Source organism: Homo sapiens, chromosome 5, assembly GCF_000001405.40.
Source record: "Homo sapiens chromosome 5, GRCh38.p14 Primary Assembly".
Taxonomy (NCBI): Eukaryota; Metazoa; Chordata; class Mammalia; order Primates; family Hominidae; genus Homo; species Homo sapiens.
The window spans coordinates 181,370,091-181,383,790 of NC_000005.10; the positions used below are offsets into that span (position 1 = coordinate 181,370,091).

Below are 13,700 nucleotides of genomic sequence, written 5' to 3' on the forward strand. Positions count from 1 at the left end.
TTCCCTTTTCTCTGTATCCTCTTCAACACTTGTTATCTTTTATCATTTTGATAGTAGCCATTCTAACAGGTATGAAGTGGCATCTCACTGTCATTTTAATTTGCATTTCCCTGATAATTAGGATGACAAACTTTTTTTATGTTAGTCATTTGTATTTTTTTTGAGAAATGTCTATTTAGGACCTTGCCCATTTTTTGACTTGGTTATTTGTTTTCTTGATATTGAGTTGAGTCCCTTATATATTTGGAGATTAGCCTTTCATCAGATGTATGCTCTGCAAATATTTTCTCACAACTTGTAGGTTGTCTCTTCACCATATTGTTTCCTTTGCTGTGCAGAAGCTTTTTAGTTTGATGCAATCCCATATATTTTTGCTTTTGTTGCCTGTGCTTTGGGGGTGATATCCAAGAAATCTTTGACCAAACCAACATTGTGGAACTTTTCCCCTATGTTTTCATCTAGTAGTTTTACAGTTTTATGTTTAAACCTTTAATCCATTTTGAATTGATTTTTGTGTATGGTGTGAGATAAGGATACACACCATACACATTCGTGTTCTTCTGCATGTGGATATCTAGTTTTCTTAACACCATTTATTGAAACAAATGTCTATTCTTCATTACGTTTTCTGGGCACCTTTGTCAAAAATTTATTGGTCATAAATGCATGAGTTTATTTCTGGGCTCCTTATTCTGTTCCCCTGGTCAATGTGTCTGTTTTTGTGCAAGTGTCATATTGTTTTGATTACTATGGTTTTGTGATATGTACTTGTTTTGGGGGGGATCGATTTTTATTTGGGTTTCTCACAGTGGTTAGAGAACAACCACAGCACAGGAAATGCCTCACCAAGATTGCCCAGAAAACTGACCAGCTGCATCTTATTGCTTAAAAATACACATATTCACAATAACTGACAAATGGTGATGTGCCTCACACAGGAATGTGTTCACATTTGCAATGCTGTGTACAGACTTCACTTCGTTCAACATAGATTTTGGTTTAATGGAATTCAAATGCGGATGCTTGTTCACAGCCTTGGATTTGTCTGTTTTTGGAGAGATACAACCTCCATGAGTATATCTGCATGAAAACCACAGACAATGAAGGTATTTCTTCATTGATTTATTTATTCTTTTGACTGTAGTAACAAACCCTGGATGACACCCTTCCTTTTAATTCACCTGGAAACCAGACTCAATCAAATCTCCCTGGTCCCCTCACTATTCCTTCAAATTCCCTATTTCTATCTCTTCCTGAGGAGGGTAACCTCCTGTAGCAGGGGTCAGACTGTGACTTGGGAATCAAGCTTAGGTCTGCAGGTTGCCTGTTCATCTTCTTGTAAAATATTGTAGAACACTGCAGTGAATCCAACAGTTAACACTCAGAGCAGTTCCCTGCTCTAACTCAGGAAAGAGACTTCAGAGGGTCAGGATTCATCCATTTGATCAGTTAACTGAGAAGGATTCATTTTGGTAAAACTTGTTCAGCTTTGAGACACTTCAGTGAGTTGTTTGAGATTTTTTTTTAAATTATATTTTAAGTTCTGGGGTACATATGCAGAACATGCAGGATTGTTACATAGGTATACACGTGCCATGGTGGTTTGCTGCACCCATCAACCCATCATCTACATTAGGTATTTAACCCAATGCTAACCTTCCCCCAGCCCCTACCCCCAGACAGGCCCCGGTGTGTTGTGTTCCCCTCCCTCTGTCCATGTGTTCTCATTGTTCAACTCTCATTTATGAGTGAGAACATCGGGTGTTTGGTTTTCTGTTCTTGGATTAGTTTGCTGAGAATGATGGTTTCCAGCTTAATCCATGTCCCTGAAAAGGATATGAACTCATCCTTCTTTATGGCTGCATAGTATTCCATGGTGTATATATGCCACATTTTCTTTATGCAGTCTATCACTGAATGGGCATTTTGGTTGGTTCCAAGTCTTTGCTATTGTGAACAGTGCCACAATAAACATATGTGTGCATGTGTCTTTATAGTAGAATGATTTATAATCCTTTGGATATATACCCAGTAATGCAATTACTGGGTCAAATCATATTTCTAGTTCTAGAACCTTGAGGAATCACCACACTGTCTTCCACAATGGTTGAACTAATTTACACTCCCACCAACAGTGTAAAAGCATTCTTATTTCTCCACATCCTTTCCAGCATCTGTTGTTTCCTGACTTTTTAATGATCGCCATTCTATCTGGCGTGAGATGGTATCTCATTGTGGTATTGATATGCATTTCTCTGATGACCAGTGATGATGAGCTTTTTTTCATATGTTTGTTGGCTGCATAAATGTCTTCTTTAGAGAAATGTCAGTTCATATCCTTCACCCACTGATGGGTTTGTTTGTTATTTTCTTGTAAATTGTTTAAGTTCTTTGTAGATTCTGGATATTAGCCCTTTGTCAGATGGATAGATTGCAAAAATTTTCACCCATTCTGTAGGTTGCCTGTTCACTCTGATGATAGTTTCTTTTGCTGTGCAGGAGCTCTTTAGTTTAATTAGATCCCATTTGTCAATTTTGGCTTTTGTTGCCATTGCTTTTGGTGTTTTAGTCATGAAGTTTTTGTCCATGCCTATGTACTGAATGGTATTGCCTAGGTTTTCTTCTAGGGTTTTTTATGGTTTTAGATCTTATGTTTAAGTCTTTAATACATCGTGAGTTAATTTTTGTGTAAAGTGTAAGAAAGGGATCCAGTTTCAGTTTTCTGCATATGGCTAGCCGGTTTTCCCAACACCATTTATTAAAAAGGGAATCGTTTCCCCATTGCTTGTTTTTGTCAGGTTTGTCAAAGATCAGATAGTTGTAGATGTGTGGTGTTATTTCTGAGGCCTCTGTTCTGTTCCATTGGTCTACATATCTGTTTTGGTACCAGTACCATGCTGTTTTGGTTACTGAAGACTTGTAGTATAGTTCGAAGTCAGACAGCGTGATGCCTCCAGATTTGTTCTACTTGCTTAGGACTGTCCTAGCTCTGCGGGCTCATTTTTGGTTCCATATGAAATTTAAAGTAGTTTTTTCCAATTCTGTGAACAAAGTCAGTGGTAGCTTGATGGGGACAGCATTGAGTCTATAAAAACTTTGGGCAGTATGTCCATTTTCATGATATTGATTCTTCCTATCCATGAGCATGGAATGTTTTTCCATTTGTTTGTGTCCTCTCTTATTTCCTTGAGCAGTGGTTTGTAGTTCTCCTTGAAGAGGTCCTTCACATCCCTTGTAAGTTGGATTCCTAGGTATTTTATTCTCTTAGTAGCAATTGTGAATGGGAGAGTTCACTCATGATTTGGCTCTCTGTTTGTCTGTTTTTTGCATATAGGAATGCTTGATTTTTGCACATTGATTTTGTATCCTGAGACTTTTCTGAAGTTGCTTATTAGCTTAAGAAGATTTTGGGCTGAGACCATGGGGTTTTCTAAATACACAATCATGTCATCTGCAAACAGAGACAATTTCTTTCTCTTGCCTGATTGCCCTGGCCAGAACTTCCAATACTACGTTGAATAGGAGTGGTGAGATAGGGCATCCTTGTCTTGTGCTGGTTTTCAAAGGGAATGCTTCCAGTTTTTCACCATTCAGTATTGGCTGTGGGTTTTTCATAAATAGGTATTATTATTTTGAGATATGTTCCATCAGTACCTAGTTTATTGAGAGTTTTTAGCATGAAGGGCTGTTGAATTTTTTCGAAGGCCTTTTCTGCATCTATTGAGAGAAGCATGTGGTTTTTGCCATTGGTTCTATTTATATGATGAATTATGTTTATTGATTTGCGTATGTTGAACTAGCCTTGTATCCCAGGGATGAAGCCGACTTGATTGTGGTGGACAAGCTTTTGATGTGCTGCTGGATTTGGTTTGCCAGTATTTTATTGAGGATTCTTGCATCGATGTTCATCAGGGATATTGGCTTGAAATTTTCTTTTTTTTTGTTGTGTCTCTGCCAAATTTTGGTACCAGAATTATTCTGGCCTCATAAAATGAGTTAGGGAGGATTCCCTCTTTTTCTGTTGTTTGGAATAGTTTCAGAAGGAATGGTACCAGCTCCTCTTTGTACCTCTGGTAGAATTCGGCTGTGAATCCATCTGGTCCTGGACTGTTTTTTGGTTGGTAGGCTATTAATTCTGCCACAATTTCAGACCTTGTTATTGGTCTATTCAGGGATTCAACTTCTTCCTGGTTTAGTCTTGGGAGGGTGTATGTGTCCAGGAATTTGTCCATTTCTTCTAGATTTTCTAGTTTGTGTAGAGGTGTTTATAGTATTCTCTGATAGTAGTTTGTATTTCTGTGGGATCAGTGGTGGTATCTCCTTTATCATTTTTTATTGCATCTGTTTGATTCTTCTCTGTTTTCTTCTTTATGAGTCTGGCTAGTGGTCTATCTATTTTATTGATATTTTCAAAAAACCAGCTCCTGGATTCATTGATTTTTTTTGAAGGTTTTTTTGTGTCTCTATCTCCTTCAGTTCTGCTCTGATCTTAGTTATTTATTGTCCTCTGCTAGCTTTTTGTATGCTCCTGCCTCTTGAGTTCTTCTAATTGAGATGTTAGGGTGTCAATTTTAGATCTTTCCTGCTTTCTCTTGTGGGCATTTAGTGCTATAAATTTCCCTCTACACACTGCTATAATTGTGTACCAGAGATTCTGGTATGTTATGTCTTTGTTCTCATTGGTTTCAAATAACTTATTTATTTCTGCCTTAATATCTTTATTTACCCAGTAGTTGTTCAGGAGCAGGTTGTTCAGTTTACATGTAGTTGTGTGGGTTTGAGTCAGTTTCTTAATCCTGAGTTCTAATTTAATTGCACTGCGATCTGAGAGACTGTTATGATTCCCATTTTTTTTTGCATTTGCTGAGGAGTGTTTTACTTCCAAATATGTGGTCAATTTTAGAATAAGTGCAATGTGGTGCTGAGAAGAATGTATATTCTGTTGATTTGGGGTGGAGAGTTCTGTAGCTGTCTATTGGATCCACTTGGTCCAGAGCTGAGTTCAAGTCCTGGATATCCTTGTTAACTTTCTGTTTCGTTGATCTGTCTAGTATTGACAGTGGGATGTTAAAGTCTCCCACTATTATTGTGTGAGGGTCTAAGTCTCTTTTTAAGTCTCTAAGAGCTTACTTTATGCATCTGGGTGCTCCTGTATTGGGTGCATATATATTTAGGATAATTAGCTCTTCTTGTTGCATTGATCCTTTTACCATTATGCAATGCCCTTATTTGTCTCTTTTGATCTTTGTTGGTTTAAAGTCTGTTTTATCAGAGACTAGGATTGCGACCCCTGCTTTTTTTTGCCTTCCATTTGCTTGGTAAGTATTCCTCCATCCCTTTATTTTGAGCCTATTTGTGTCTTTGCACGTGAGATGGGTCTCCTGAATACAGAACACTGATGGGTCTTGACTCTTTAGCCAATTTGCCAGTCTGTGTTTTTTAATTGGAGCATTTAGCCCATTTACATTTAAGGTTGATATTGTTATGTGTGAATTTGATCCTGTCATTACGATGCTAGCTGGTTATTTTGCTGTTAGTTAATGCAGTTTCTTCATAGTGTCAATGGTCTTTACAATTTGGTATGTTTTTGCAGTGGCTGATACCAGTTGTTCCTTTCCATGTTTAGTGCTTCCTTCAGGAGCTCCTTTAAGGCAGGCCTGGTGGTGACAAAATCTCTCAGCATTTGCTTGTCTGTAAAGATTTTATTTCTCCTTCACTTATGAAGCTTAGTTTGGCTGGATATGAAATCCTGGGTGGAAAATTCTTTTCTTTAAGAATGTTGAATATTGGCCCCCATTCTCTTCTGGCTTGTAGAATTTCTGCTGATAGATCTGCTGTTAGTCTGATGGGCTTCCCTTTGTGGGTAACCTGACCTTTCTCTCTGGCTGCCCTTAACATTTTTTCCTTCATTTCAACCTTGCTCAATCTGATGACTATGTGTCTTGGGGTTGCTTTTCTTGAGGAGTGTCTTTGTGATGTTCTCCGTATTTCTGAATTTGAATATTGGCCTGCCTTGCTAGGTTAGGGAAGTTCTCCTGGATAATATCCTGAAGAGTGTTTTCTAACTTGGTTCCATTCTCCCCATCACTTTCAGGTACAGCAATCAAACGTAGATTTGGTCGTTTCACATAGTCCCATATTTCTTGGAGGCTTTGTTCATTTCTTTTCATTCTTTTTTCTCTAATCTTGTCTTCTTGATTTATTTCATTAAGTTGATATTCAGTCTCTGATATCTTTCTTCCGCTTGATCGAATCAGTGCTTGATCCTTGTGCATGCTGCATGAAGTTCTCATGGCATGTTTTTCAGCTCCATCAGGTCATTTATGTTCTTCTCTAAACTGGTTATTCTAGTTAGCAATTGGTCTAGCCTTTTTTCCAGGTCCTTAGCTTCCTTACATTGGGTTAGGACATGCTCCTTTAGCTTGGAGGAGTTTGTTATTACCTACCTTCTGAAACCTACTTCTCTCAATTCATCAAACTCATTCTCCGTCCAGTTTTCTTTTGTTCCCTTGCTGGTGAGGAGTTGTGATCCTTTGGAGGAGAAGAGGCGTTCTGGTTTTTGGAATTTTCAGCCTTTTTGCTCTGGTTTCTCTCCATCTTCATGGATTTATCTACCTGTGGTTTCTGATGTTGGTAACCTTCTGATGAGGTCACTGAGTGGCTGTCCTTTTTGTTGATGTTGATGCTATTCCTTTTTGTTTGTTAGTTTTCCTTCTAACAGTCAGGCCCCTCTGCTGCAGGTCTGTTGGTGTTTGCCCTAGGTCTACTCTAGACCCTGTTTGCCTGGGCATCACCAGCGGAGGCTGGAGAACAGCAAAGATTGCTGCCTGTTTCTTCCTCTGGAAGTTTTGTCCAAGAGGGGCACCCACCAGATGCCAGCCAGAGCTCTCCTGTATGAGGTGCCTGTTGGCACCTACTGGGAGGTGTCTCCCAGTCAGGATACACGGGGGTTAGGGACCCACTTGAGGAGGCAGTCTGACCCTTATCAGAGCTCGAATACTGTGCTGGGAGATCTGCTGCTCTCTTCAGAGCCATCAGGCTTTTCAAAGATGCTTTAAGTCTGCTGAAGCTGTGCCCACAGGCGCCCTTTCCCCTAGGTGCTCTGTTCCAGGGAGATGGGGGTTTTATCTATAGGTCTCTGACTGGGGCTGCTGCCCTTTTTTCAGAGATGCCTTGCCCAGAGAGGAGAAATCTAGAGAGGCAGTCTGGCTGCTGTGGCCTTGCTGAGTTGTGGTGGGCTCCACCCAGTTCAAACTTTCTGGTGGCTTTGTTTACACTGTGGGGGTAAAACTGCCTACTCAAGCCTTGGCAATGTGGAAGCCCCTCCCGCCACCAAGCTCGAGTGTCCTAGGTCAACCTCAGACTGCTGTGCAAGAATTTCAAGCCAGTGGATCTTAGCTTGCTGGGCTCTGTATGGGTGGGACCCGCCGAGCCAGACCACTTGGCTCCCTGGCTTCAGCCCCCTTTCCAGGAGAGAGAATGGTTCTGTCTTGTTGGCATTCCAGTTGCCATTGTGGCATGAAAAAAAAAAAAAAACTCCTGCAGCTAGCTCGGTGTCTGCCCAAACAGCTGCCTAGTTTTGTGCTTGAAACCTAGGGCCTTGGTGGCAGAGGCACTGGAGGGAATCTCCTGGTCTGTGGATTGTGAAGACCGTGAGAAAAGCATAGTTTCTGGGTGGAGTGCACCGTTCCTCATGGTACAGTCCCTCGGGGCTTCCCTTGGCTAGGGGAGGGAATTCCCCCAACCCCTTGCACTTCCCGGGTGAGGCGACACCCCATTCTGCTTTGGCTCACCCTCCGTGCGCTGCACCCACTGTCCAACCAGTCCCAGTGAGATGAACCAGGTACCTCAGTTGGAAATGCAGAAATCACCTGCATTCTGCATTGATCTCACTGGGAGCTGCAGACTGGAGCTGTTCCTATTTGGCCATGTTGCCAGCAAATTCTGAGATTTTTTTTAAAAGTGCAAAGAAAGACATCTGAGGGGTGCTGACATATTCGGGTCACCTCAAGCCACATGCCAGCTTGCTTGCCCCTGTTGGATTCAGCAGAGGGAGATAGGCCTTGCCATACCTGTGGTGTCTGCCAAAGCTTCCTCCTGGCAATTCTTGGGAGTGCTGATACCTGGGCCACAGTTAGTCCAAGTTTATCACTGAAGATCCTATCAAAGTTTTGTCTGAAATTCCACTTTTGCCTTTTGTCCTAAGTGGTTGTGGACATCTCCAGGGGCTGATACCAAGGACTAGGAACAGCTGAGGGAGGCAGAAAGGTTCAGAGTACATCTCTATTTACAGGGAACAGAACACCGGCCTCCGAGAGTCCATGGAGCAATGGGAAAATTGCAGTGATTACTCATCACTGTGAAACTTCTACTTTGAATACAGTATCTTCTGGCAAGCATAGGGGACTGCAGTCGACAATGCTGCTGAATATACCTGAGTACATAGTAAGACATTTGTTTGGTAAACAGTCAATGCATACAATAAATTACCTTGAGAGGGCCATCTGTGCTCCAGATGTGAGAGTTCATGTGAATAGAATGGCCGCAATTCAAAGAATCTTCACAGGAAAACAGGGCTCAGAGCTCATCCACAATGGACAGACAGGGAGGGAAACAGGTGGAGGTTAGTTCACCACTTCCTCATAAGAAGGTAATAAATAGTTTGGTGAAATAAAATGGTAGCACTGAGTAATTGCGGGCTTCTGGATAGGCAGGCAGGTTGATTTCATGTTGCTACTGCTGGACTTGAGGGCTGGCTTGGCTGTGGTGGCAGACACAGCAGCAGCTCAGGATGATGGTGATGGTCCACGCGAGCCAGAACCACCAATGTTCATAGTAGTAGTTACAACACTGAGACTGCCCATAGCAGTGTCCTGTTGTGTCACAGATGTAGCTTTGATTGTTGGTACACACACAGGCTTCCTTATCCTGTGGGGGTTCAGCCCTGGCTGACACAGGGCTGGGCAGTGCCTAGAGGTGCAAGAGCTCCATGCCACCCAGGAGTCTTCCCTCCTTACTCCTCCTGCTCCTCCGACCCAGCGCGGGCACCTCCCTCCACCCTTGCTGCACTTCTCCTCTACCCTCTTCTTCCTTCTTTTGTTCTTTTCCTGTAATACGTTTTGAAGTCAGATTGTGAGGCCTTCAGCTTTGTTCTTATTGCTCAAGAGTGCTTTAGTTATTCAGGGTCCTTTGTGGTTCCATATAAATTTTCAAATTGTTTTTTCTATTTCTGTGAAGAATGACATTGAAATTTTGATAAATGTTGCATTAAACCTATAAATCGCTTTGGGCAGTAAGGACATTTTAAGAATATTAATTCTTCCTACCCATGAACATAAAATATCTTTCCATGTATTTGTGTCATCTACAATTTTTCATCAATGTTTTATAGTGTTCAGAATACAGATCTTTCACCTCCTTGGTTAAATGTACTCCTAAGTACAATCCTAAATGTGCTCCTAAACAAAAAAAATACAGTTTTTTTGATGCTACTGTGAATGAGATTGATTTCTTTATTTTTGTCATATAGTTTGTTGTGAGTGTAAAGAAACTACTGAGTTTTGTATATTGATTTTGAATTCTGCAATTTTATTGAATTCATTTATCATTTCTAATAGCTTTTTGGTGGAGTTTTTAGGGTTTCCTATATATAATATGTCATCAAACAGAGACAATTTTACTTCTTCCTTTTCAATTTGAATATCTTTTATTTCTTTATTTGGCTTAATTGCTCTGGCTAGGACTTCCAGAAATAAGTTGAATAGAAGTAGTGAGAATAAATATCCTTGTCTTGTTCTTGATCTTAGCAGAAAAGATTTCACTTTTTCATTGTTGGGTATGATGTGAGCTGTGAGCTTGTTATATATGTCCTGTTTTGTGTTAAGGTACATGCCTTCTACGCCCAATTTGTTGAGAGGTTTTGTCATGAGAGGATTTTGAATTTAGTCAAATGCTTTTTCTGCATATATAGAGATAGCTATTTTTTTATCCTTCATTCTGTTAATGTGGTTTATCACATTTGATTTGTGTTTGCTGAAACATCTGGAGGATAAATCCACTTTATCATGGTAAATGTTCTCCTAATATGTTGTTAAATTCTGTTTGCTAGTACTTATTTTGAGGACTTTTGTATCTATGTTCATCAGGGATATTGGTTGGCCCATACTTTTCTTATAGTGTCCTTGTTTGCCTTTTTATTTTTATTTTTATTTATTTATTTTTTAAATTATACTTTAAGTTTTAGGGTACATGTGCACAACGTGCAGGTTAGTTACATATGTATACATGTGCCATGCTGGTGTGCTACACCCATTAACTCATCATTTAACATTAGGTGTATCTCCTAATGCTATCCCTCCCCCCTCCCCCCACCCCACAACAGGCCCCAGTGCTAATATCCGGAATCTACAATGAACCCAAACAAATTTACAAGAAAAAAACAAACAACCCCATCAAAAAGTGGGCAAAGGATATGAACAGACACTTCTCAAAAGAAGACATCTATGCAGCCAAAAAACACATGAAAAAATGCTCATCATCACTGGCCATCAGAGAAGTGCAAATCAAAACCACAATGAGATACCATCTCACACCAGTTAGAATGGCCATCATTAAAAAGTCAGGAAACAACAGGTGCTGGAGAGGATGTGGAGAAATAGGAACATTTTTACACTGTTGGTGGGACTGTAAACTAGTTCAACCATTGTGGAAGTCAGTGTGGCGATTTCTTAGGGATCTAGAACTAGAAATACCATTTGACCCAGCCATCCCATTACTGGGTATATACCCAAAGGATTATAAATCATGCTGCTATAAAGACACATGCACACGTATGTTTATTGCAGCACTATTCACAATAGCAAAGACTTGGAACCAATCCAAATGTCCAACAATGATAGACTGGATTAAGAAAATGTGGCACATATACACCATGGAATACTATGCAGCCATAAAAAATGATGAGTTCATGTCCTTTGTAGGGACATGGATGAAGCTGGAAACCATCATTCTCAGCAAACTATCACAAGGACAAAAAACCAAACAGTGCATGTTCTCACTCATAGGTGGGAATTGGACAATGAGAACACATGGACACAGGAAGGGGAACATCACTTTAAGAAAAAAACAATAATGCTGATCTTTTAAAATGAGTTTGGAAATACTCTTTCTCCTTCAAGTTTTTGGAAGAATTTCAGAAGGATTGTATTATTATTTTTTAAAATGTTAGAATTCAGCAATGAAGTTTTCTGGTCCTGGGATGTTCTTTGATGGGAGATGTTTTATTATTGATATACTCTCCATACTCAGTATTGTTCTGTTCAGATTTTATCTTTCTTCTTGACTTTCTCTAGGTAAGTTGCATTTTTCTAGAAATTTATCTGCTTTTTCTAGGTTATCCAATTTGTTGGCTTGTAATTGTTTATAGTGGCCTCTTATGATCCTCTATATTTCTGTGGTATTAGTTGCAATATTTCCTCTTTCATTTCTGATTTTATTGCTTTGAGTATTCTCTCGTTTTTCTAGTCTAGCTAATGGTTTGTCAGTTTTGTTTATCTTTTCAAAGAACAAATTCTTAGTTTCATTGATCTGTTCTATTTTCTTTCACAGTCTTTTTGTATTTGAAGGACTTGTATTTGTTAACTGGCTCAAGCCTGGAAATTTGTTGAGGTGCTATGAGTCTCTATTGCTCTCATTTCTCTTCACTAGACATAGAAATTTTCTGATTACACGAATCAAATAAGACTAATAAGCTTCCCAGGGATGAATCCCACTTAAGCATGGTGAATTTTTTTGCTGTGTTTTCTTAAAAATAATATTTGCTAATATTTGGCTGAGGGTTTTTCCATCTAAGTTCATCAGGAGTATTGGTCTGCAATTTATTTTTATTATAGTGTCCTTCTCTGGTTTTGGTATCAGGGTAATGCTGGTTTTGAAAAATGAATTTGGAAGTATTCCTCTTCTTCATGTTTCTGGAAGCGTTTGAGAAGGATTGGTGTTAGTTATCTAAGTGTTTGTTAGAATCCAGCCACTGAGCCATTCAATCCTGGGTCTTTCTTTTATGAGAGACCTTTCATTGGTGATTTAATTTCCTTATTCACGATTTGTTCTAAATTTTGAATTCTTCATGATTCAGTTTTGGTACGAGTTTATCAATTTCTTCTAGGTTATCTAATTTGCTGGTGAATAATTAATTATAGTAGTATGTTATGATTTTTTAACTTCTGTGGTATCAGTTTTAATGTCTCTTCTTTCATTTCTGAGTTTGTTTTCTTTTTTCTTAGTCTATGTAAGAATTTGTTAATTTTGTTTATCTTTTCAAAAAACAATTCTTATTTTTATTGAAATTTTCAGTTTCTATTATATTATTTCTGCTCTGATCTTTGTTATTTGTTTCCTTCTGCTATCTTTGGGCTTGTATTGTTCTCTAATTTTCTCGCTCCTTTAGGCATAATATTAGGTTGCTTATTTGAGATCTTTTTTTCTTTTTTGATGTAGGCATTTATTGCTATAAGTGTCCCTCTTATAACTGCTTTTGTTGCATCCCATATGTTTTAGTATGTTATGTTTCCATTTTCATGCTACCTGATTTTAGAATATATTTCAAAGCATGGTGTACAGTGCTTTTAAAAAGAGGCTATATATAGGTATATATAAAAACAATACACACATTGTATATAAACTATGGCATGCTTGTAAAGAAAAGAGAACATAAAGTGTCTGAGGAAATAATTAGAAGAACAAGAGGATGCAAAGGGGTCTGTCAAAGATTCAGTGAAATGAGGGTTTTTGGATATTCACAGCTAATAGATTAATGCATTAGGAATGAGCAAAAAAATTGATGGTAGTCAAACAGAGGGAGGGAGGTAGATTTTGAATGATTCAAAGCAGGAGTGTTTTGAAGATAAACAGAATAACTAAAAAGAAAGACTCAGATGAAAAGCCTAGATTTAAAGCATTTGAATCAAGAGGTGGTAATCTAGGAATTAGGTTGATTTCTTTTTTTTTTAATTTGTGTAGCTTTTTATTTTATTTTTTATTATACTTTAAGTTTTAGGGTACATGTGCACAAAGTGCAGGTTTGTTACATATGTATACATGTGCCATGTTGGTGTGCTGCACCCAGAAGACTGGTTAATTTCAATAACCTAAAAATCCACAAGGTGGGAGCGTTTCACTGAAGACAGTTGTTAGAGAAACGTTAGAACCAACTTCCTTTTTTTCTCTGTCCCTTCTTCTCTGCTTTCTTCTTTTCTCCTCCTCCTCCTCCTCCCTTTACTCTCCTTCTTCTCTCTCTGTTTTTCTAATCATGAAAACAAACGAAAAAAACTATGAGCAAGAGCACAGAAAAAAGACTAGCGAAGACTGCAGTTATTGAAAGTATCAGATACAGAAAATAAAATAACTATATTTAGTATGTTTAAAGTAAAACAAAAAATTAAAAATATCATAATGGAACAGGAAACTCTAGAGAATGGCCAAGAAGATTAAAAGAAAACAAATAGAATGTCCATAGAGAATAACATAATTGAAATTTAAACCCAAATGAATGGTTTTAACAGAATATTAGTATGTTAGAAGCAGTTGAAGAGTGAACTAGTAAACTGTAATATAGGTCAGAAGGGGCTATCCAAAATGAACACAGGAATAAGGAAATGGAAAATAAGAAACATGTAGTTAGGAGACATGGAAGACAGAGGGGG

At 38.8% G+C, this 13,700-nt stretch overlaps 1 pseudogene; it reads right to left on the reverse strand.

Annotated features, from left to right (window-relative positions):
* WBP1LP4 (WBP1L pseudogene 4) lies at positions 8,605–9,111 on the reverse strand (annotated as a pseudogene).